This window comes from Homo sapiens, chromosome 5, assembly GCF_000001405.40.
Source record: "Homo sapiens chromosome 5, GRCh38.p14 Primary Assembly".
Lineage (NCBI taxonomy): Eukaryota > Metazoa > Chordata > Mammalia > Primates > Hominidae > Homo > Homo sapiens.
In genome coordinates, this window is record NC_000005.10 from 22,137,241 (window position 1) to 22,164,329 (window position 27,089).

Consider the following 27,089-nt stretch of genomic DNA (forward strand, 5'->3'; position numbering starts at 1 on the left):
TTTTAGTAGTAAATTCTACATGGTCCCAGGTGTGTGACTGTGCATGCCAGTTATATCAGAACAGGCCTTCCCAGCTTTGTCTTATAGTTATAATATGCAAACTATTGGCATAATTCTACATCTCCCTAAAGATTTTTTGAGTCTTTTGGGATTGATAGTCTCTCTCCCTCTCTCTGGATGCTGCTTTAGGACATTTACTAAGTATACTACTGTGTCTTTCTCAGTGATTAATGATGACTAGATTAATTGGCTTTCTCTTTCATTGTAAGTTCCCCTTTAACATTTCTGATTTTAATTGTGAGAAATAACCCTGCACATGCATGTATTAGAAGTCAGAGAAGATCCTCTCGATCCATCCCATCAATTTCCCAGGAGCAATTGGCATAATTTAAATCTTCATCTAACTATTCTCCTTCAATTGTAATTGGTGCCACCTATTTTTAAAGTAGCCTATTCTTGTAACATTAACATTATTTTGATAATTTATTGCGACCCCATTGCCAAAAACAGGCACAAGGGCGCCATAAATAAAGCAGTCTGATAATTGCTTAAACAAAACTGGGCCCCATGGACCAGCAATAAACTGTCATTAAGGTTAGGCTGGAGAAGCACCTGCAATTTCTCTGGATAACCTCTTTTATTTCTCTGTGTACACTACTGCTCATTTCAGAAAATGACAGTTTTGAAAGATATCAGCAATTTGTTGAAACAAAGAATGAGAAAAACATGGTCTTGGAGGTATAATTTACTTTTACATTTTGAATTAAAAAATAGAAAAAGATATGCTGAAAAAAATTATCATATGAAAACCATAAGATTTCTACTGTAGAGCTAGAGCTATTTCACAGTTTAAAAGCTTGCTCCCTTTGTGGTAACTTTTATTTGTTATTTAAATTCAAGTTAATCTTCCCTGACTTGTAGTACTTAAAAAATAGTACTCATGGTCTTTTATTGTTTTCAAGCACAATTTAGATAATGTATTTTAGTGTTGCAGCTTGGCTCAGCAATTTTGAAGATTTAGGTTCTGAAAGTTGTTCATCAATAAAATGGCCTATGTACCTCATTTGCAATGTGAAAGTGTTAGAAATATGAAAGAATTATATTTTTTATAATATAAAATTTAGAAAGATTAAAACTATATTTAAAACCAATTCAGAACACACAAGTAGGTATCACTTAAATGTCTTTTTCAATGTCAGTGACATTTTTAGTTGCTTTTCTTTCTTAAAATTTGCTCCTAAAGTGGCCATAATAATTGATATTTTATAAAGTTGGGGAAAAAAACAAAATGAATGTCTTCCTTTTATATTTATCAAAAGGTTATTTAAATGAATTCTTCTTGAATTTGATGGAAGCATTTTTTAAATTATGTTAATTTTAACACATCAGGTGCATGTTTGAATACAAATAAGATCAAATAGGTCTTGAGTCATATCTGCAGGATCTTAATTTTAACATCATAGAGACAAAGATTTTAGTTAGTCTTTTGTTTTGCTGTCAAATTTCCCTCTAATTTTGGACATGACACATTTTATCTTATTGAGTTTCAATTATATATGTATAATTATATATATAATTGAATATATATGTGTACATATATACGTAATATATATATATATATATATATATATATATACATGTTGGACTCATCGATGTACATGAAGATACTAGCTTTGAATGAAACAATGTCAATTGCAAACTGTTGTTCATGCTTAATATAAATTCAATTATGAACAGAAATCCTTTAAGACAAAACAGGGAACCAGGTACTCCTATAACTTTTCTCCCAATAATTTGATGTTTTGGAAAAATTTAGTACCATATAATTTTTCCCCAAATATTACCTTTATTAAAAATAATAGTAATAATTCTGGAGAGTTATTTACACTGTGATTTATTAAATCAATCCCTATGATTTAATGTAGTGATGAAAGTGGTCTTTATATTTAAAATGTGCATGTTATATTGCCAGTTTTTACTGAGCACATACATTGTCGGCTAATACATACTCCTTTGTAGGTGAGTGTTTAGCGAAGAAAGCCATTGCTCCATTGGCAAATTAGCATCATTAGTTGAAGGAGCCCAAGGGTTTAAATTGCAGGAGGTTTGCAGGAAGCATGTGCGCTGGCAGAGCTGTGTGGTCAGGCATCTGCAATAACCGTCTACATTATGCTTCCATTTAGGTGGTGTCATCACTCTGTCACTTTCATCTATTCCATAATTTGCACAAAAAGAAAGCACACCACAACAACTCTTTAAATTCCAAAAATGTATGGTAAACTGTCAGTTTCTCTTGCATAAAGTTGTTTATCTCAGGATTTTACTTGGCGTGCAATTTCTCAATAGACGTATCCTTCCTTCTGAAATGCAAAGGAAATCCCATTGATCAATAGGGGTTGCAGTACTTATCAACATCACAACGGAGACAGCTTAATTCCTCAGATTAGCATTTGGCTCAGATCAGCAAATGTTTTCTGAGAAATTACTATTTATACATTTAAAAGTATCCAACTTCCCTATCTTCCTCCTATCAGCTCAAAATATAAGCCAGGGCCATGTGGCTGCATCTTAATCACGTTCGAGCTGGAGAGCCATCAGTTGAAAGCCTGTCTCAGTTCATAGATATGAGAGATTGTAATATTTTAACATTTCCTCCTGCCAAGTTGCTAAGCAATAAAACTATCTTGGCACTTTCCTGCCAGTTCATCATGAAGAACTACTTTAGTTTAGCTTAGTCTCTTGATGAAACAAATGGAAGGCAGCTGCACCAAACGGCCTTTCAGAAACGTGTTGCCAAACAAATCCCCGGAACTTTCACCCCTTTGCATAGCTAATTTAGATGGCTTGAAGCAGAGAAATCCCATGTTAGTATCAGCATAGAAAATCAAGTCTTAAATATGAGTGATTAAAAATTATACAAACAATAGCTCATCATAATTTTTGCCGAGTGCTATTGTCACATATTACCTTTCTCCAAGGTATACCTAAGTGTGATGATTTCTCAGCTAAAAAAAGGCACATTTTTCATACCATAAAGTCAAGTCAGACATACTAGACAAGCTATTGGCTAAATTTGAAATGTATTTCTACTTAATTTTTACTTAGCTTTTGAGAGTTTTGATTACATAAGTAATGCCAAAAGAATGCCACACAATAATTTCAAACAACAGAGAAATGTATACATTTAAAAGTGTATAAAGTAAAAAGAGAAGTAAGTTTCCTTTCGCATTCATCCAATCCTGTATATTTGTATGTGTTTTTTCACAACTGCCTCTGTGCATGTGTGTGTGTGTGTGTATTTGTGGCTGCATATGTATAAACTAAGAATTTTAGTCTATAAACTTACAGCAAATATTGACACATTTCTTTATTGCTGTTATTGTTTTTATTAAAATTGAATCATATCCTGAGCCCTCAACTTGCCATTACATGACTAAGTTCTTCCCATCTCAGGAATCAGAAAATCCCAAGAATCTTTATCACAACAGAATGTTCTGGGAGAGTCCCCTTGGATTTAGGACACACAGGTCACCAAGGAAATGGCCCTGTGCAAACTCACACCATCATGTGAAGTGGACATCTGCATTCTAGTGCTACACAGACTACACCGTCTGCTTCAGAGAGTTTGCAGGTGATCTTCTCTCAGTCTGTCCTCCTCACATTTCAGGTCCTTCACAGAGCCAACTCCTGCTCACTGTTATCCTCAGCCTGAAATCACAAAGCTTCCTTATGTAGGCCTTCTTTATCAACTCAGATTAAATTAAAACCTTTCCTCCTAGTGGACAACAAGGCACTTTTTAATGTATCCATTATCATACTTCTCAAATTTATTTTTGCCAACTCTCTGCTTCCTTATTAAACTATGGTATCCATAAGGGTAGCTTACAGTGCTCAACATTTATTCATTAATTGGACAGATACTCACTGAGCTTCTACTATGGTGAATTGATGTGCTGGATGCTGAGAATAAAACTTCTATTTGAATGGCATGATTCTCTCTCACTGTCCCTACCTTTGAGACAGATGTGAATAAAAAAGCTACACATTATTACTTAATTAGAATGATAAATGTTATACTATCTATGTGAGTAGTTGGAGCAAGTTAGTCTCGTGAGAGAGGTGAGTGTTTCAGGAAATTCTCTGGAAAAATTTGTATGTAAGTTGAGACCTGAGAAGTAAACACAACTTCATTAGGAGAGAAGAGCATCCTTAGTTCTTTAGTGAGACTGGAAGGTGTGTGGAGTAAAAGCCTTAGAGAGGAGGAGGTGGTGGACACACATTCTGAAAGACGAAGTATTCTAAAGCCAGGCTGGCCAGCAAGGATTTTATATTACCGAATCTTTTGGGGTTTTTTCCATGAGAATACTGTGAAGCCATAAGCAAGGCAGCAATATGAGTAGATCTGCAATTAGAACATGATGGTGGACTTGGCCAAGATGGTGAAAACAAACAGAATAGAATTGAAAAATATTTTGGAGTTAAAAATAGGAGAATTTAGCGATTCACTGATTGTGGGTCTGAGGCAAAGAAGATAAAAGTTAAAAAATATAAGAGGAAAAGCAATAGTTAACACTCATAATGCATTGCTAGGTACTAATCATTAAGTTTCTCACATGTATTAGTAGATTTAATTTGCACAATAACCATAAGAAGTAGGTGCTATTATACTCAAACATCATTGATGAGGAAAGTAAATCAAAGGGTTAATAAATAACTTGCCCAGAGTTGTACGGCCATAGGGTGGTTTGGTTCCAGAATCTATTACTTACACATTACTCCTGGGCTTTTGGAATGAGAAACTGAGGATGGTGTTGCTATAAACTGGAACAGGGAACATTGGAGAAGCAGTGAATCTGGGTTAAGGCACAAGATGATTTTTGAACAGGTTGAATTTAAGGTGCCTCTGAGATAGGCAACTAGAGATGACAGGTCTGGCATTCTAAAGTTGAATATAAACAGAAGATATCATTTTGGGACTTATCAAAATAGAAATGATAATGAAAGCCATGAGATGCATGAAAGCATTCAGGATTACAGTATAGAGTAAAAAAGAAAGCCTATATGAAGTAGAGGAAGGGGTACTGGCCTCATTGTCTAGGGAGGAACTGCTAGGGTAGTAGAACAATGGGATTATGCTGTCACAAAAACCAAAGAAAAAACATAATTTCTTAAATCATGGTCTGTCACTGAATCTGGTTATAAAACCTTATCTTGCACTAGAAGGATCTGTAGCTTTTCCAGCTGAGAATGGGGTTCAGGATACCGAATCAACACAAGAAAAGAGAGAAACTGGGGATGAAGAAAACTCAGCTAAATTTCCTGTAGGAAGGAGAGATTTTGACAGTGAGTAGTTTTTCAAAATTCAATTCTTACATCCTACCATTAAACAGAACTCTGAGTTTAAGCAAATTTGGATGCAATCATAACAAAATCAAATAAGACCATGGCTCAATTACACCTGCCAAAAATGTGGGATTAAGAAGTGTTTAATTAGTTCTTATCATTTTGGTTTACTCAGAATTAGTTATACTAGATCCATTCTTCTTTTTTCTTAATAAATGTTGTGTGATAATTATAGTCCTTTAAACAATTTAAACTTTCTTCTTCCTTCAGCACTCAGCTGTATGCTGGGAAGAGTCTACCAATCTTGCTGGCAAGTCTGATTCTTTTTTTGATATGGACCTGTTGGTCTATGTCATCTTTTCAGAAGAAAAGCATTTAATTGCCAATGGGAGGAGAAGCCCATAATGTTACTGTAACTTGGGTATTATGTTAAATGTCTGTTTTAAAAGAAAGTAGCGTTAAGATAGATCAGTAACCAAAATCATAGGCTTTTTCTGTGCATTTAACTTTGTGAAAATTCTGTATAATTATGACTTACTAGTATTTTTGAACAATGCTTAACATACTAACCTTACATACACTCTAGACCAAAATAAGGCATCATAATTTACACCTTAATCTCAAAAATTAAGCATGTCTTTGGTGAATGGTTTTATATATACATAAACCTAAAGCATATAAGACAAAAATTTATGTTTGGAGCCTGTGTTCTGTAAAGAGAAGGTTGATTTGTCTTTTAGCTATCGTATTTGGAGTGGAACTATAATACAAATGTATAATATTCCTTTTTTTTTTTTTTTTTTTGAGATGGAGTCTCACTCTGTTGCCCAGGCTGGAGTGCAATGGCACGATCTCGGCTCACTGAAACCTCTGCCTCCCGGGTTCAAGCAATTTCTTGCCTCAGCCTCATGAATAGCTGGGATTACAGGTGCCCACCACCATGCCTGGCTAGTTTTTGTATTTTTAGTAGAGGCAAGGTTTCACCATCTTGGTCAAGTTGGTCTGGAACTCCTGACCTCGTGATCCACCTGCCTCGGCTTCCCAAAGTGCTGGGATTACAGGCGTGCACCACTGAGTCCAGCCTATATTCTTGTTTATCAGTTCAAAAATGTTCTGCTCTGTTTTTGACTCTTTAAAAATAACTTAGATTCAAATTTATAGTAGAAGAAAAAAAATCTTTCAGATAAGAGGTGTTCTCCAGAATGGAGGAACTACTTGGCATGTAAGAAATAGCGTCAGTGTCCTAATGCATATTGTGACTGTTTGCATATACTTCTGTTTGTAAAAATATCAGTTTTACTTTTCAGAGGATTTGTAAGAAACATTTAAATTTTCATTGAAATAAATGACAAGTCATACTGCCACTTAAAAAAAAAAAGACCTTTGTCAAGGAGAGTGCAGTCAACCAGTAAATTGCAGATTCTCAGAATGTTTATTGACGTACTGATTATTCATTCTGTTATACTCTAACATCTGTATATTTTTACCAGTATTCTCAGACCACTTCTACCAAAACATAAATCTGTGATTGTGATCTCTGAAAGTCAGTCCTTTTATCTACTCAAGTAAGTGCAAATTTTAGAAAATAAATCATTTTCCCTAGAAATATAAGTTGTTCTTTTCTTAATTTATCCACTAACTGTTTAGAAATATGATTAGCTTCTAAGATTTGAAAAACAGTAAATTTTAAATATCATATCTATTGGTTACAGTTTAAAATACTTCCAGAAAATAAGCAGAATTGAGTTAATGTTAACTTTATCCAACTAATACTTGAAAAGGATCATTGATTTATATTACTGCCAGCTTAAACCATTTTAATTAATGTACTACTAATCATAACAGTGTTAGTTACAATTTTGTCTTCAAGTGCAATAAAGACACATAGATTTGAACTCTTTTGATTATTTTTGGCCTCCTGGTCAATGCCTCACAGTCAAAATTTTAATTAAGATTTTGCACTAAAAGTAAAAAGAAAATTGGGATAAAAATGTGCAGTGTGTTTTATTCGTTATGTGGAGGCATCTTTCCTATATCCAAGTTTAACTAATACTGGTTCTCTACCTGCTTAGATTAACTGGTAAGAATCTTATAAGCATTTCTTACCATCTTGTTATAAACCAAAAATGGCAGTCTTTCCACATTTTGACGTAATAATTTTGAGCTTGTTACAAATTAAAATAAAAAATTAAAAACAAATATTACCTTATAAAAATTCAAACCGTATGTATTGAATATTAATTTAAATTACTGTTATTAATATTACATAAAATACGCATGTTGTAAAATTTTAAATTACTATCTGGTTAAATAGACTATATATATTCTGTAGAGTCAAATCAGATTTCGGCAATGTTGTAGAATTTAACTGAATGCCCAGATGGAGGAACTTGATTATATTATAAAAAGGGGACTACAATCCTAGAGTTGGACTCAAGCACAAGTATTTCTCATTATTTTGCAGAAGAAGACACTAAGGTTTTCAGAAATTAAATTGCTTTTTGGAAAAGGTGGGAGATTCTGGGAACATAGAAACTTGAATCCAGTTTTCTTCAACTCCACGTCAAGACAGTTGCATTGTGTGAGAAAATAGCTACGGCCATTTGTGACAAAATCACATATATGCAATTATGTGAAACTAACTGTGTATATATATCTGTGTATGTGTGCATGTACAATATATAAACTATCAATATTTATCAAAGTCCGTACAGCTGCTAGCAATGAGGGGGATCTAGGATTCTATCACATGATACCTTTTTATGAGGCCTTTGTTCTTTCCAGTACATTTGTCAGCTCGTTCATGAAAGAGATTCTTAATTATTTACTGAAATATCACAAAAGTGATGGTGAGCTAGGTTGCCACATTGATCCTGATAGGTCCTTGACAAATTCATATTGACTCTCCACAAATAAAACTCTAAGGCAGTTTTTCCCATTGTGATGCTTTTGTCTACAATCTTAATTGTTAACTCTTCCAAAGAATAAACACACAATATATCAATTTTTTAACCCATTTAGGTAGAAATATGGGTATATAGAAAGGAAGAAAGCAAGGCTAACGGTGAGCAGTGGCTAAATGAACAAGAGAACATTCAGTTAAGTATTTCATCTCCAAAATGGTATAAACTGTGGCAGAAAGTTCTTTGTTGAATCAATAGTTTCGAGACAGACATACAGTAGGGACATCGAAGGTACAAAATAGAGCACTGATGAAGGAGTGAATTATCATCTTCACAGATGAGTAGAGAAAGAGAAGGTCTAAGTATTGAGATGAGAATATAGAAATTTCTGAAGCACAACACAGCTCAGAAATTCAATCTGAATATATTCCAATTCAGTGCCTTGCAATAGATCCATAATGATCGCCTATCTTTCCATCATACAAAGCAATGCATATCATTTAAACATTTTTCTAGCATGAAAATGTGCCTGGGTTATGCAATACACACTTTACCAAAATATGATTCTGGTGGCTGTAAGCACTTAATTGTAATGACCTGTAAAATGAGCAACATTTTTAACTCCGAAATTCTAATCAATATTAGTTAATGAGGTGTGTGAAAACTTATAATGCTTTTAAATACTCTTAGTAGCCATCATAATACAAATTCTCCCACTTACAGCATATTTAATTTTAATCCTTGCAATAATATAAATGAAATACATCTAAAATACTTGATGGTAAGCACTCAAGTAAAAGTCCCCATAACATGGCCTTAAAAAAGGTTAATCTTTTAACAACGGGGTCATGAAAACATTTTTGTTATAGATATTTTTATGTTCCTCCTTGTATCAATCAGGATTAAATTTTCAAATGTTCATAACATTTAACAACAGACTGAATAAATAACAAAGTTGTTAACACAAAATGAATAAATGTTTTGTATAAGTTAAAAATAGAAGATAGAAAAAATAACTTGGTAATGTGTTTAAAATATTTTATGGCCTCTACCCCATTACGTTATTCCATTTTCTCATAACTGTAGACCTTTAGCTACCAAACAGAGGGAAGGAGCATTGTACACTAGTTACCTAGAAAACAAATCATTTATAGGTCTTATTTTTTGAAAAGGAGATATCTTTTAATTCAACTAAAATGTAAAAGATTGGAAGTGTCCCCCTATCAAGGCTTAGTTTTACTATTGCTTAATATAGATGAAGAAAAAATAAATCATATATAAACTCGGGAAGCTTGGGTTTTCTCTTAAAGTAAGCCATGCTGTGATTGTTCCATCTAAACAGTTATATCAACTTTACTTTGTATCATATGAAAACAACAGCCTGCTGAATGACTATGTATTGTCTATTTCCACCTGCTAAACAAGACAAGACCACATGAAATAGGATCAGCTTAGCCATTACCTTCAGGAAGCTTCAGACATATTGTTTATTGCAAATGGACATATATTATAAATGTATATACAGACACATCTTTGTGATATTACTTCCTGAAGTATGTTCTTATGGAAATTTAACTTTGTTCATCCAGTCAGATTTCCAGAAATTTATCTACTGTGATAATTAATATATTATTCTCCAACTCTTTGTTATTCTCATTCTGTACTTACTTTGCTTTCATCAAAGACATTTTAGCAAAATTAATTTCCAGGACCATTTTCTTAGTGAACTAATGCCATTTGATCAACAATGGCCATTTTCGTTTTTATCTTGAGGATCACATTGGGCATTTGTCTCTGACTTTTCACTCAGTTTATAATGCATTCTTGTTCCCTTTGGAGGATGTTTGTTCTTTTTTTCTCTGCTTGCTCCCAACATTAAAATCCAAGGTAAACTCTTAATTAAGTGGAGTTGACAGAAGTCACATTTTCTCTATAAAGAACAATTGGAATCCACTGGATTTGCCCTATCAAGAAAAAAGAAAATCGTATCTCCAAGAGTAGGTATTGGTAATTAATTAATCCCTAATCTTTTTGAAAAGTATCTGTATTAGTCCATTTTCATGCTGCTGATTAAGTCATACCTGAGACTGGGTAGTTTATCTTAAAAAAAAAAAAAAAGAGGTTTAATGGACTCATAGTTCCACGTGGTTGGGGAGGCCTCACAATCATGGCAGAAGGCAAAAGGCACATCTTACATGGTGGCAGGCAAAGGCAATGAGAGTCAAGAGAAAGGGGAAATCTCTTATAAAATCATCAGATCTCCTGAGACTTATTCACTACCACAAGAACAGTATGGGGAAAACTGTCCCCCCATAATTCAATTATCTCCCACCAGTTCCCTCCCACAAGATGTGGAATTATGGGAGCTACAATTCGAGATAAGATTTGGGTGGGGACACAGCCAAGCTGTATCATTATCAGATATCATATTCATCTGGTAGTGGTCAGTACATCTGTGCACAACCTCAGAGTTGGCTGATTTTTGCTTTTCCTTCCTTACTAACTCACACCAGTGGTTTCCATCCTAAAGTACACAAACCATGTTATTTTTCTGCTCTTTGATTTCCTAAGCAGTATACCAGCTACTTTAGGACTGTGTTCCTGTACAGCGCCCCTTTTCTTCACGACCACCTACAAATCTATTAAGTACTTAAAGACTTTTTTCCTGTGATGGGGATTTTGATGCTTGTTTGTTCTTTCTATGCCAACTTCATACACCTCTGAGTCTCATCCATATGTCCCAACTGCTCCCTCTAAAACTAAAAGCTACTATTTATTAAGTATTTGCTGCATTTCCAAAATCACTCTAAGTACTTTGTCTACATTGTCTCATGTAATCTTCACAGTTTTCTGAGTTGTGCATTATATGTTGCTACTGTCCACATTCCTTCACTAAAGTTATGGATTTTAGTTTATTTTAATTAAATGGCCAATGAAGATTTTGAGAAGTAACTAGTATCACATAGCAGAGGTGGGAATGCATTTGAAGAGATCTATATTAATTTTCTAAGGCTGCCATAGCAAATTTGCACAAACTTGGCATCTTAAAATAACAGAAATTGATTTTTTTTACAGTTCAGAAGGCCAGAAATCTGTTTTCTCACAGTTTGGGCCAGAAGTCAGAAAGCAGCAGAGTTGGTTCCTTCTGGAGCCTCTTAGGAAAAACCCATCTTATTCCTCTTTCCTAGCTTCTGGTGGTTCTTGTCACTCCGTGGCATTCCTTGATTTCTTGATTAGTTGTATCAATCCAATCTCCAACTCTGTCATTGAATGGCCTTCTTTCTTGTATAACTCCCCTGCATCTTTGTATTCAAATATTCCTCTCCTTTCTCTTTTAAAGATACTAACCACTGGCTGGGCATGGTGGCTCATGCCTGTAATCCCAGCACTTTGGGAGGCCGAGGCATGCGGAACACGAGGTCAGGAGTTTAAGACCAAACTGGCCAACATGGTGAAACCCCGTCTCACTAAAAATACAAAAATTAGCTGACCGTGGTAGTGCACACCTGCAATCCCAGCTACTGGGGAGGCTGAGGCAGGAGAATGGCTTGAACCCAGGAGGCAGAGGTTGCAGTGAGCCAAGATCGTGTCACTGCACTCCAGCCTGGGTGACAAGCAAGACTCCGTCTCAAAAAATAAATAAACAAAAGATACTAATCATTGAATTTAGCTCCCACCTTAACTAAGTAGGACTTCATTTTAACTTGACTACATCTCAAAAGACCCTATTTCTAAAAAGGGTCATATTTATAAGTACCAAGGATTAGAATGTGAACATATATTCTTGAGGGACACAAGTCTACCCACTAAAATGTGTAATTCCAAATTGCATGCTCAATTTTACAGTATACAGCACTAAACTACATCCTACTGCTTTACTGGGTGACTGTCTTTTAAAGGCCTGCCATGGTCTTTACCGTAATGCTTCAATTTATTTTGCTTGAGTTGTCCTATATGTTTTTCTAGACCCAATCTCAAGCCATCCTTAGCAAGAATTTTAAGAAAATCTCCCAAATTGTATAAGTACTCAGTCAATGCAGAATAAGCAGTGCTTTCCCTGATTAGTTCTATTCTGTTTCTTCTGCTTCCTGAACCTCTAGAAAGATCTCACCTGAGTTTCAGTAGAGTCTCTATACATCCTACATGAATGATCTAATCTCCAACCTCAACAGACTTAAAGTCAGTAATAAGTAAACAGAAAAACTTTGACTCATGTTTAAAATATTTCACTTGCCTTGGCCTCCCAAAGTGTTGGGATTACAGGCGTGAGCCACCACGTCTGGGTGGATCACAAGGTCAGGAGTTCAAGACCAGCCTGGCCAAGATGGTGAAACCCTGTCTCCACTAAAAATACAAAAATTAGCCAGGCATGGTGGCAGGTGCCTGTAATCCCAGCTTCTCGGGAGGCTGAGGCAGAGAATTGCTTGAACCTGGAAGGCGGAGGTTGCAATGAGCCAAGATCATGTGACTGCACTCCAGCCTGGGTGACAGAGCAAGTTTCAAAAAATAATAATAAATAATAAAATAAAATATTTCGCTCATAAATTAATTGATTCAATAAATATTTCATTCAAGTACGTACACATTAGTACATGGTTTCAATGATCGTTGATTTAAAACCTTGGAAATAGCTTTAATTCTATATTACATTTACATCGACATCCACTCAGGTATGAATATTCTGTAGAAAAGTTTTGGTTTTTCCCTTTCCATTCTTTTGTGAAATGTTTGTCTTCCTTGTCTGCTAACACTTTTTAATATGACAATTATCATTAATTATTCACAAAGTGAGTTAATATTTGCTACATATTTAATGTCTAATTTGTTTCACTATTTTAAATGTACTGTACCTGCCTTCTGAAAAGAATGCAAAGCCCTCAAAGTCAAGTGCATAATATAATATCCTTATGGTTTTGCAGCCTACTATTCATTCAGTACTCAATAACTAGCAATGAACAGCAAATGTAATTATATATATATGTATATATAGAGAGAGAACACTTATGTATATGTAGAACATATATATGTATATATATAGAACACACACACACACATATATATATATGAAACATAAGAATTTATGTATAGCTATGCTGAACATTTGGCTATCAGATAAAACTGTAGCTTTACAAATACTTAAGAACAGAAAAACTGAGATTGCTCCTAGATCTGGGGTGGCCAAAAGAAATGGAATCAGATGTTTTTGTTAATAGGTAATGCCCCAAATCTTATCAGTCATAAGCACTGGGCCAGACAGACCTGTGCTTAGATATTCTAATAAGGTATACCTTTACTAGTACCTTTGTTAGAAAAAAAGATATCCCCTCTAGGTGGACAAATCAGAAAAACAGACCAGCTCTTAACAGGTCAAGCTTAAGAGCACATAGCTTGGTGATGGTGGCAGAGAAGGAATTTTAGACTCTCCGGCTCCCTCCACAAGGCACTATTGTGCAGCACACACATTGCACAACCTCACAGAGTAGTCTTGGCCTTAGCTGAGGGGATAAAAAGAATTGTTTAGTTAAGAAATGAGATTTAGCAGCTTACATAAATCATTAAGGTGTTTTACGCACTTTTTGTACATCAGTGCCTTACATTAATTAATCCATTTAATTCTACCTGCCATGAGTCTATCCACACCCATTTTACTCATGTGGAAACCAAGGCACAGGGAGGTTAAATGGCTTGTCCAAGGTCACACAGCCTTTGAGTGGTAGATTCTGGATTCAAATACATGCAGCCTGATACTGAAACTCTGTTTGTGAACACTTTATTGCCTTTAAACTGATGAAATTAGAATAAATGTAAATTCCTGGGACTATTAAAAAAGTGTAATAAGCTGTAAGAACGAGGCATTATGAAGTAAAGGAACTCACTTTGGGAAATACCAGCTTAGAACTTAATAGGCTTATGATAGTATTTATAAATAATCAAAGGATCAAGTTGATAAGCCATTCTGTGACTTGTAGATAAATATCTTATCAGTTTTTGTACCCTGCTGAAATCCTTCCTCAAGAGATTAAATCACCAAAAGGGTTAACTCTTTTTTTGTGTGTGCAATTTTTCCACTGCCAATAATTTTGTTCCCTGAGCAGTGAAACAAGTAATTCACAAATCAAGAGCATGTTAGGACTATAGGTCCTCATTTTCCTAACTGCAAAGAAAATTATTTTAAAAGTAATTTTCCCCTCAGAAGCAATTCCAAGACTGAAGATTAAATATACAGAGAAGCAATGATTCAGGCTTTTAAAAAAATAGCTTTTTAAAGGAGTATAAGTGAAAACAGTTAAGTCAATATATTTAATTACCAAGATTTTATTGTATCTTTTACTCACATAAAAAGACTAAAATAAAACGTTTCTGGTTTTCACAGTAACTGATCTGATAATGTCAACTTTTGAAAACAGATAGTTATGACTCAAGGCTTTGAGAATGTAAAGAGACCACCTTCACTTGTTGAGAAATGGTACGATTTCACGTTATCAGTGCAGTTCCGTTCTCGGGGGAAAGGTAAGCACATAGCTAACTCCAGCTCCAAGCTGCTATTTCATGATAACAGCTCACGGAGCTGTGGGCCTGCTAAGCCTTTCCCATCTCGTTCTGGAATTCCTCTATAGCCCATCCGTACTACCAGGAGACTGGATCCGCAAAGTAGACACTTGGTCTCATGAAGCCACTGCTGGGCTCCAGAGAGAAGGGAAAACTAAGAGGTTTTAAAACCCCTACCCTCCTTGGTTTACCTCCATCATTAAAAAACAACAATGACAACGACAACAAAAAACAAAACTAAAACGACTTATTATTTATTAATTATGTTGTGGCAGACAATATGCTGAACATTAGACATAATTAAATCTTTTTAAAAATTGATAATTTATCTCTGTTTTATAGAAGTGTGAAACTGTCAGGAAGACAGATGAAATGATTTGCCTGAGGCTGTATCATCAAACAAGAAATTCATATTCACCTTTCTGGAATTCTTAGGATAATGATTACATGTGTTCAATTGTTAAAAATTGGCAGATAAAATTTTATGTATTTACCACGTACAACATGAAATTTTGAAACATGTATACATTCTGGAATGACTAAATCCAGCTAATTAACATAGGTATTGGCTCACATATTTACTTTTGTGGTGAGAACAGTTAATATCCACTCTCAACATTTTCCAAGAATACAATATATTACTAACTATAGTCACCATGTTGTAAAACGGATCTCTTGAAGTATTCCTCCTATATAATTGAAATTTTGTATCCTTGGACCAATGTCTCCTCACCCTACTCACTCCTCAAATATCCCTACTCTTGGAAACCACTGTTCTCCTCTCTCTACTTCTAGGATATCAGCTTTCAAGAGTGAGATATTGTGGCATTTGTCTCTCTGTTCCTAGCTTATTTCACTTAACGTAACGTCCTCTAGGTTCATCCATGTGCAACCCCCTAGGTTCATGTCCTTTTTTAAGGTTTAATAGTTTTCTATTGTGTACATATGCCACAATTTATTTACCCATCCACTTCTTGATGGATGCTTCAGTTGTTTCTGTACCTGAGCTATTGAGGACGATGCTCCAGTGAGCATTGGAGCACAGATATTTTTACAGGGTGGTGATTTATTTTTCTTTGGATATATATACCCAGAAGAGAAAGTGCTGGGTCATACGATAGTTCTTTTCTTTTCGTTTTTTTCTTTTCTTTTTTTTTTTTTTTAGAAACCTCCATACTGTTTTCCACAGTGGCTGCACCAATCTATATTCCTAAATTAAACTTCAATGTGCAGATGAATTACCTAAAATTCTTTATAAATTGCAAATGCTGGTTTAGAAGGTGTGCTGATTTTGATGCATTTTTAAGACCCCCCTCCCATCCCGTGTGATGTTCCTACTCCACTCACTGATTTCCCATGTATTATCTAGGGTCTTAACCACATTGCTTGTTTTTCTATTAGAGTTTGGAATGGGTCACCCATGCTCTGAGGCTCTATGAAACCCTGAAGGGAGAGGTAAACATATAAGCTCTGCAATCCAACTGCTTGGTTTTGTATTTTGGATTTGAAACTTAGTAACCATTTTCACCCAGAGGAAATTCCTTAAGCTCTGTAAGCCTCAGTTTCTTTATCTGTAAAGTGGGAGTTACAGTGGTATTATCTCTCACTGTATTTTTAAAGACCAAATGAGAAACTTGATGTAAATAGGAACCTAATGCCTGGTACATAGTGAACATTCAATATATACATTCATGAGTATTTTTAATTAAAACATGTTCATTGCAACATTATTCACAGGGGCCAAGATATGAAATCAACCTAAATGTCTGCCAACAGATGACTGGATAAAGAAAAGGTTATATATATACATATATGTGTGTGTGTATATATATATATGTATATATATATATATAAATATATATATATATACACACACATACACACACACACACAAACATATATATGTATATATGTGTATATGTGTATATATACACACATACATGCACAGATATATATGTATATATATGTATATATGTATTACAGGCATGAGCCATCTCGTCTGGCCAATTATTATTATTATTTTAGAAATTTATCAGTGATGCTTTTCTGTTCAGCTTTAATGAGGTGTAATGACAAAAAAATTGAATATATTTATGTATGCTGTACACTGTGATGTTTTGATATATGTATATATTATGAAATGATTACCACAATCAAGCTAGTTAACATATACATCACCTCTCATAATTATCTTTTTGTGTAGTGAGAACATTTAAGACCTACTCTCTAAGCTGATTTCAATTATACAATATAGTATTACTAACTATAGTCACCATGCTCTACATTAGGTCTCCAGAAATTACTTTTTCTGCATAATTGAAAATTTCTATCCTTTGACCAACATCTCTCCATTTCCCCTAACCCCAGTTTACACACACACACACATATACATATATAGTGAATATATACACATATATATGTACACATATATATGTACACATATATATGTACACATATATATGTACACATATATATGTACACATATATATACACATATGTATATATGTATATGTGTACACATATATATACACATATGTATATATGTATATGTGTACACATATATATACACACTATATATGTACACATATATATACACACGTATACATGTATATATACACATATATAATAATAATAATATCAAAAATAAAATAAAAATTGCTTAGAAATTTCAAAATACAATACCTTCCACTGAACTTCCTTAATCCACATAGCACTGTATTTTTCTGTCTATTGCATTGTCACAAATTTAGCCACTTAACACAGATTTATTATTGCACAATTTCTGTTGGTCGGGAGCCTGCCACATTTTGGCCAAGTCCTCTTCTCAGGGTCTCATAAGGCTATCAGGGTGCTGGCCAACTGCATCCTCATCTGGAGGCCTGACTACAAAAAGATTGGCTCAAAGGCCCCTCAGAGTGTTGGCAGCATTTGTTTCCTTGTGGTTGTAAGATTGAGGTCCCTCTTGCCTCACTATCAGTCAGCTGGGAGTGACCTCACCTCCTCCAGGCTGCTATCAGATTATGCCACAGGCCCCTTCCGTTTCTGTAATAAAGAACTGCCCTCATATTGAATCCATATCACACCTCAGATTTCTCTGATTTCCCTTCTGCTTTCAACTAGACAAACTCTCTGCTTATAGAAAGGCTCATGTGATTAAATTGTGCTCTATTTTAAGGTCAAGTGTGCTATGTAACATGACCAAATAATGAGAGTAAAATCTATTATAGTGACATTCCCTGGAATTATGTAGAAGCGAAACTATTGCTGGAGGGGTAGTCTTTGGGGCCAACTTAGACTATTGATTATTCCATGTTCAAGGAGAGGTGGCATATAATTGGAGAGCTAAGAACCGTCAATATCTCAACATCTAAAAAAATAAAAATTGTAATTGTATTTAAAATGTTAGGAAACATAGTTAGAAATTTAGGGTTTTAAGCAGATATAAAGATCTTTTAATCATGCTACTACCTAATTACAATATTAGATAAAGAAGAACAATTAAGCCTAGTCTATATGTTAGAGAAATATAGTAATTTTTTCTGGAATGATTTATTATGTGCAGACTTTGGGTTATTGGAATAGATCATTGAACATATATGTTTTAAAGTACTTAAAAATATTTTATAAATAAAGTTATTTTTATACAGAACAGAAATAGTTGATATTGAATCAGAAATACTGTATTAGCATAAGTCATATGTTTAAGGAAATATATTCCTAAACAATAGGAAGAAACACAGGCAACACTGATGTAAAAAAGATTTACAGACATGAGCTTCATGCACTTGGTTTATGGACTAGAATTCTATGCCTTCTAGAAGCAGAAAATATGCAACGACTCATTCTGCCTTATGGCCATTTCAGAGCTTTTAATCTAATAAAACCTATATGTCAGCCAGTAGCATGTCAGGGTCTTATTACTCTGCTTCCTTAGAGTCTGATATGGGAGGTTAAGTCCCTGCACAAATGTACCCCTTGGGGTTCCCTGAGGTGGAGCCATGCAGGTTTGCATCTTTGCTTACTGATATATATATATAAAAGATAACATTAAATATTCTATTCCTGTTTTCACTTATGCGTTCACTAAGAATGATGAAAGTGGGAACTGTGTGGCATGGCCTAGGAATTGTGCATGAGCACACTCTATTTTACATGTCTCATCAGAAGTCAGTTTCTAACCTTCTTCTGTCTGTAGACAAGCATATCACCTAAGCTTTCTCAGAGATTAAAGGTATACCACCTAGCTTAAATGGCCCAACTAATGAAAGAGAGGTACACTTAAATTGCATCTTAATGAGAAAAAATATGAAAAGGAGAATTAATAGAGATTTCTCAAAATTTAATGAGCATAATTTTTATTATTGAACAATGTTTGCCTATAAAGTCTTACTCAACTTGATGAAAAAATGCTAAGATACATGTTAAGGAGTCCTCATTTTAATACTTTATGTAAAATCGTATATACATATACTTAAAGAAAAATAATGGCATATTTGCTGTCTTTAAATCATTGAGAAAAAAAAGACTACATGTGTCATTTAATTTAGCTAAAGAAGGAAGGTGACTGAAAAATACAGTTTTTACATAAGATACTAAGTAGCTGGCTGGGTTTTGCTAATGTTCCCAAATTTGAAATCATTTTAAAAAGAACACTCCAATGAGCACCAGAGAACTGAGACATTTTAAAATAAAATTATAACTGCACTTAATCTCATATTGTCTCCTTAGCCTTTTGACATTTTAATTGCTGTGCCATTTTTCACTGAGATGGCAAGCATTTTTTACATATGCATAATGTAGCCTGTGTTAATGCGTATTGATTAAAGTAGACAGTGATGCGAGGATGTTGGAATTTTACCCACTGTGACCCTACTGAATGTTTCCCTCTGCTCTTTTTGTTTTCTTTATAACCAGAGGGGGAAGAAAAGCATGTATTTTCCAACAAGTCTCTATGCTATCTGAACTCTAGTATTAACAGGTGAAAAATGACATGTTTAACAAAAGAAAGACTAGAAAGCATCTACATCACAAACTTGTAAGTCTTTCATTTCTGCATTGGAGACACTATAGGAAAATCAATAACTTCCTTTGAGTCTAGTGATCTAGCTGCTTACAAGAAATTTACATCTCCCTGACAGGCAGTTTGTAAGGTCTGGTTCACCTGGGTCACAGGAGTACACATAATTTGCATCTTGAGCAATTTCTCTCTTTCCTTCTACCTGTTCCATGAGGAAAGAAGATTGAACCTGGTCATAAAGAGAATCTCATTACGTCTCAGCTGAGAAGAGTAATTTTGTAGGTGTTCTTGGATTGCAAGAGTATCATATAATGATAATATTTTCTCATAGCTCTTCAGACCTATGCACACACCAGGAAATGAAAGTAACATACACCCAGGCACATTTGAAGCTTCTGAGCTGTCATTCACCAAATGAAATTTAAGTGTTCCATCAAAGTCATTTGCAAATATGATCTCAAGATGGATATCCAGATTCTTTGCTAACAAAAATATACAAGAAGATAGACATTTAGCTTACCTCTCATAAAATCTGAAAAAAAAATTCCCCTTCTATTTTATTCTGCCCTTCAAAATACACAAGATCTGAATGTCAAATAAATGTTTATATTATGATATGCTAATAATGCCTGGCATATATTTTCCTAGTTAGTTCTGTAAGCTCAGTTAAAAACAAATAAAAACCAAGGAGGCAATGCTGAAAACTTTTTGAATCAAAAATAGAATGCAATAGCATTTAATTATAATTAAGTCTTTAATATGCTAATTTAAATCTCACATACTTTTAAGCATGGGTCTATTTGCAAATTCATCTAAATAAATATTTGGCATGAAGTCTAAATCCACTTTATTCCAATATGTTTTTTTTTCCGGGATAAAGATTATAATGAGATTCAAATGTAATAATTTTCATCCTGTATTCATGAAAATAATTGTCTAGGTGTAAATGAACGTATTATTACAATTCACTATGTGTACTCATACCTAGTCATGAGGTCCTCATATATAAAATAGAGGGAGAGTACAACTTTAAAGTGTTTTATATATCCATTTCATATTTTTTCTCTTTGCAATTTAGGATGAATCTTCTTAGACAAATGGTTATGTTATTAATGCACCAACATTAACCTAGAAAAGGCTACTTAGTACTACTTAACTTGAATACTAATCACCCTGGCCTCAGTAGCCCACCATATCTTGCAAAGTATTCTGAAATAGTATTGGTGATAAACACCATTTGGAAAGGAAAAATGGCTGTATCTGTGTTTTTACATGCACGCTCCCCTCATTATTTTTGCATATGATAAAATAGATAATATTTACTGAGCACTTATCACAAGTCAGTTGTCTTGTTAAGTGATGCAGAAGCATTTTCTATTAGTCCCCAGAAAACCACTGGGAGGTTGGTACAACACAGTTCCATTTTATCAAAGGATCCATTCATGAAGACCTTGTACTCACATAATGAAAGATTAATTTCCCACAGGAGCAAATAAAAAGCTGAATGGGGGTGTTCTTTAGAAATATCACGGTGGTAATTCAGCTTGATTTAGAATGAATTTCTAAACCTATCTCTGCTGCACTATACTTGGTGGCTTGCTTCCCAATATTAGCCGTGTACACCTTACTTTTATATCATTATGACAGAATACACTTTTTGTTTGCATGATGACAATACATGTTTAAATAAAAGACTATGCATCAGCAAAAGCACTCACAGGTGTTCTGATCCACTTCAACAACTGCTTGATTTACAATATGTTGACAAATTAGCTCAGGTCATCATTTATATTATCTAAGGTACTAGTGCTACATACAAATAATAAAAACAAGAATTATAATGGTGTCCCTTCAGCTTTGAAATTCTGTGACTCTTCATAATAGCTTTGCATTATTTTAAAGTTAGCATATAAAATAAAACTTCGTTACTTAAAAATTTGAGCACAGTTAAATTGTTGGCATCGGTTCCCCTATGTTTTTGAATATACAGGTTCCTGAAAAGGTCCATAGTTTTAGCAGAGTAGACTTTATAGCAGTGGTGAATTTTGAGGGAGAAAATAGATGAGGAATGTCATGTGCAAAATAAAGACCTAGTAAAAAATCAGCTAGAAGAGAAAGAAACTATCAATGCACACCACTCAACAGCAAGGACAAAAGAGAGACAGGACAAGAGAGGATCTGTTGACAATGGTACAAAAAGAAGGAAATAGAAAATACTGATTTTCAACTCTGGTTTAATATGGTGACTTCTTATCCAACTGCCTTAATGTTGAAAATGAATAGTTTTCTCCAAATTTCTTAGGATAATGAGGATATGCCTACACATTTTCATTAGAAAATGGTGCATGGGTAAAATTTTCTTTAATGTTTTGTAGTGTGGCAGCATGTTTTTCTGCCAGGTATATTAATAAAACCATATTATATTGTGTCTTTTCTGATCTATAATTATAGCTTACATGGTTCAGATGAATTTCCTCTCTGGCAGCTCTCTGTTTGACTTAATCGCTGCTGATAAACACTATCACTCATTTTTTACCCACCAAATAAAATTTTTCATCTTGATGCATTTTGTCTGCATTGCACATATTTAAATACTCAATAACTACCACAGCAAAAACTCACTTCGGTTTTTACCTTGTAGACAAATGGCTTATCTATTTAGCTTAAATCCATAAACTTTGTTACAGCGTTATCAACTGGATGAGTTTAAATATACTGGAATCAGGTTTACCATGACATAATTTAAATAGTTTAATAGTTCATTAACAAGATATTAACAAGATCAAAATTATTACTCCTTACTGAAAAAGGCAGCTCTATATACTAGGACATAGTCAAGACAGTAGCAAAATGTGTCTGTGTGCGTGTGTGCGTGCATGTGCATGTGTGTGCCTGTGTGTGTATGATTCTTTAAGGTAATGTTAGAGACAACAAATGGTAATAGACGGAGTAAAAATAAAATATGTACCAGGCCAATGAAAATTAGAAAAACTTCACCTATCTATTGCAATATACGTTGCTCTTCTGTTCTGGCTCAAATGGGTATGTGTTCCAGAAAGTTGCAAAACTCCTCAAAGACTCTTCAGTTCAATAGGGTATCCACCATCTGACCCATACAGTTGAGATTGAAAATAGATTCAGTCTGGCAGAAAAATGTCCACAGAAGGCTTTTCTCCTTTTTTTCTTTTTAGAAAAAAACAAGATAAAGCAAAACAAAATAAATTATTAACATGCTGCTTTGGATATGTTAGATGTGTTTCCCAAGGGACACTGTGGTATCTTCATGGCTGGATATTTTCAGAACATCTCAGTGTATTTTCTTATTTACTGCCCTTGGTTCTCCTAGACTTTTGAACATTGAGTAGTCACATGAACGTTGTTTAGCAAAAGGAGGTGAACCAAGTAAATCATTCTCTGAGATAAAGAAGTCCATGGGAATTGGCCTTACCTCACAGAAACAAACCAAAATGAATTGTAATATTAATCTTAGTGCATTCAGGCTGCTATAACTAAAATAGCATATACTGGATAGCTTATAAACAACATAAATTTATATTTAACAGTTCTAGAGGCTAGTTTAAGATCAGGGTGCTGGCTGATTTAGTGTCTGGTGAGGGCCCCTTTCCTGCTTCGTAGGTCACACCTTTTGGCTGTGTCCTGTGTTCTCACATGGTGAAAGGGACCAAGGAGCTCAACTCCCTTGGGCCTATATTATAAGGGCACTAATCCTATTTATGAATGCTCCACCCTCACGACTAATCAGCTCCTAAAAGACCTTACCTCCAAATATCATCACCACAGGGGTTACTTTTCAACATACAAGTTTGGGGGAAAAGCAAACATTTAGATCATGGCAATATTCAATATCAGAAGCAGAAGATGATTCATGCTAGAGGGTCCTCGACAACTGTGTTTGGGAAAGTCATGCATGGCTCTGCACGGAGTCTCTGCCTGGCCCTCATTTAACACTCATGACCCTTGGAATGCACAGGCTCTGTGACCTTGCCCAAATCCTGAAGCTTTCATTCCATAATTTAAGGGGAACATACACAAGTGTATAGAATTGAGCTGTCATAGAAGCTTCACTATTCTCATCCTCTCTCTTCTCATTTCTTATATCTTAACTATGATTGCTAACCCCAATGACCTCTTTGTCAACACTATGTTATGGAGTTCCCCTAAAACTTTTTGTTTCACCTCTCCTCTTCGGTCCTGTGTTCTGAAAATTAAAGATAAAATTTTTAGATGATTTAAGAATCCTTATGAAAAAATGAGCTAACTCTGGACATTTAAAATACTAAAACACCTAAAAGAGAGTATCATATTGCAAGAATAATCAAAAACAACCTAAAGAAAAATATCTGGCTGGGCATGTTAGCTCACACTTGTAATCCCAGCACTTTGGAGGCTGTAATGGGAGGATCACTCAAGCTCAGGAGTTCGAGACCTGCTTGGACAACATAGCAAGACCCTGTCTGTATCATAATAATAATAATAATAATAAATTGCCAGACATGGTTGCACGTGCATGTAAGAGGCGGAGGTGGGAAGATTGGATGAGCTCAGGAGTTCAAGATTGCAGCGAGCTATAATTGTGCCATTGAATTCCAGCCTGGATGACAGAACGAGAACCTCTCAAAAGGAAGGAAGGAAAGAAGGAAAAAAGATGGGGAAGGAAGAAGAGAGAGAGGGAGGGGGGAAAAGAAAAAAATCCAAACACCTCAAATGTGGTTAACTGCAGTTGGGAATTCAATTTATATTTGAGCTTTCTGAAATCTGAGATACTAGAGAAATATATATTTAAAAAATAACATGCATAATAACTTTATTACATTTATTTGTAAAGACTCATATGTTTATTATAGAATGGGGGATTAATCTTTCATTAAACTGGTCTTGTCGAAGTCACTACAACATTCACTTCCCAGCCATGTCTGTATAATGACTTCCTATCAGTTTATGTTGCTTCAGCATCCATTTTGAATACTAGTATTGCTTTCTCATACTAGAAGCAGGGCTCAGTCACCCTTTACACAGTTTTTCATCCTACAGCATACCCAAAGGGCTGAAACTGGTGGTCATATATAAAAATTTAGAGGCATGTCTTCTGCCTAGCAGACTGAACGCTGCTTTCTTGCCCCTTTCTTTAAAGGGACCATTCAGTCATTTGCTCTGAACTTTGAAGGCCCACACCCTAATCTTTATATAGTGTGCTAGTTGCCACCCGTTTCTCTCTCTTTGTCTGACTCTTCATTTCTGCCTGCCATGACTCCAGGATAAAGAACTGCCCTCCAGACTCATTATACCCTCCCACACACCCTTACTTGGATCCTGGAGTCTGCAAGTAAAAGTCTTTGAACTTGTTCCTTATTTTGGTGTTACATTAAATTTGCACTTTCCATCTGAAGAATCAGGAGCTGCCTCAGGTTGGGTTTTCCCTGGAACACTGGGGAGAATACAACGTCAAGCTCCCAATGCCAAAGTGTTGACCAGGCAGGCGTAAACCAGACACAGGTCAGACAAGAATCACATGTGGCTTGCCAGTGTAAGTTTTCCCTGGTCGCAAGTATGATGTGTTTATTTTTAAAAATAACATCATGCATATATTAAGTTTATTTGTAATAAACTTACAAATAAAGTTTGTAAACACCCACATCCAACTCCTCATCATTTGCCCTTAGTGCAGGTTTGTCAGCTGCTCTAGTACTGGACCCATAATTTAGCTGGGGCTCTGACATCATGGAATATTTTATTTTCCCTTACCTAGCTCTCAATACACCCTATTATGCAGGCTATTCCTCTGCAGTCTCTTTTGTTGGTTCTTTCTCTTCCCTCTGACTTTTTTTTTTTTTTTTTTTTTTTGAGACAGAGTCTCGCTCTTTCGCCCAGGCAGGACTGCAGTGGCGCGATCTCTGCTCACTGCAAGCTCCGCCTCCCAGGTTCATGCCATTCTCCTGCCTCAGCCTCCTGAGTAGCTGGGATTACAAGCGCCCGTCACCGCGCCCGGCTAATTTTTTGTATTTTTAGTAGAGACGGGGTTTCACCATCTCCATCTCCTGACCTCGTGATCCGCCCACCTCGGCCTCTCCAAGTGCTGGGATTACAGGCGTGAGCCACCGCTCCCGGCCCCCTCTGACGTTTTAATGTTGCATCTCAAGGTTCAGTCCTCGGCCCTCGTTTATCCTGTTTATATACATTTGGTTGGACTTCTCATCCAATGTCAGGACTTTCAATATCCTCAATATGATGACCACTTCCAAATACATATTTCCAGCCCAGACTCCCTCCATTCCTGTATATTGCATGTACATAACACAAAGAATCATGTATCAATATTTACCACTTGGATGTCTAAAATGCATCTCAAACTTGGCATGCACAAAACTGCACCTTCAATCCATGAACACACACACACCCATCTATTTGTAGTCTTACCCACTTCAGTTGACATTCACAATTCAGACCAAAATTTTTTAAGTTGTTCTTGATTTTCTTTTTATTTTACATGCTGCACCCATGCCATTGGTAGAATACTGCCCCAAATATTCATAATTTGAACATTTTCACCATCTTTGTTAGAATTATCCTGACATGAGACACCATTGTCTCTTGCCTGAAGTATTGCCATTTGTAACAACACCCAGGATCACACTGTCAATGAGATTCCCAAGAATTAGAAATTTGATCCAGTATTGAGCTTATTAATAATTTCAAGGGTACATATAAATGCATAATACAGGTGAAGCAGGAAGAATTCCATGACAACCAGTATGACTCCCTAGGTCATTTTTTCATCTCACTGTTATGTCTCTTTCAGGTAATAGATGAGACTTCTAATAAAGTACATGGTCACCTCACTTACAAAGAAAAAGCCATTTAGATTATAGAACATCACAATTTCATACTCATATAGTTACATAATTCACATTATGTTAATCAGGAAGTATGTCCCATGAATCTGTAGATTCCAGGTTTATTTACCAGAAGCAATTACAGAAGAAGCAAGTACATCCTGCCCAAAACTTTTCATAGTAAAGACTCTCATCCTAGTGTTACCAGGGGTCCTTGCTCCCAGAGCTCCCAAGATGGTCGTGGGCCACTTCCAAAATGGCGGCGGGCCACTTCCAAGATGGTGGCAAGCCTCATGCTCTCTGACTTGGGGTTCTTGGCCTCAAGATTCCAAGGAATGGAATCTTGGGCCATGCAGTGAGTGTTATAGCTCTATTAGAAGTCGTGGGTCACAGAAGAGAACTGTGGAACCCAGTGAATAGTGTTCA

At 35.3% G+C, this 27,089-nt stretch overlaps 1 protein-coding gene and 1 pseudogene across 10 annotated transcripts in view; one reads left to right on the plus strand and one right to left on the minus strand.

Annotated features, from left to right (window-relative positions):
• The window catches only part of CDH12 (cadherin 12), a 1,102,672-nt gene that overhangs the window by 386,568 nt on the left and 689,015 nt on the right, over nt 1-27,089 (minus strand).
• On the plus strand, nt 5,112-15,032 carry PMCHL1 (pro-melanin concentrating hormone like 1 (pseudogene); annotated as a pseudogene). The gene is made up of 4 exons (NR_003921.1): nt 5,112-5,343; nt 6,834-6,908; nt 14,658-14,756; nt 14,864-15,032. The product of NR_003921.1 is annotated as a pro-melanin concentrating hormone like 1 (pseudogene) (transcript).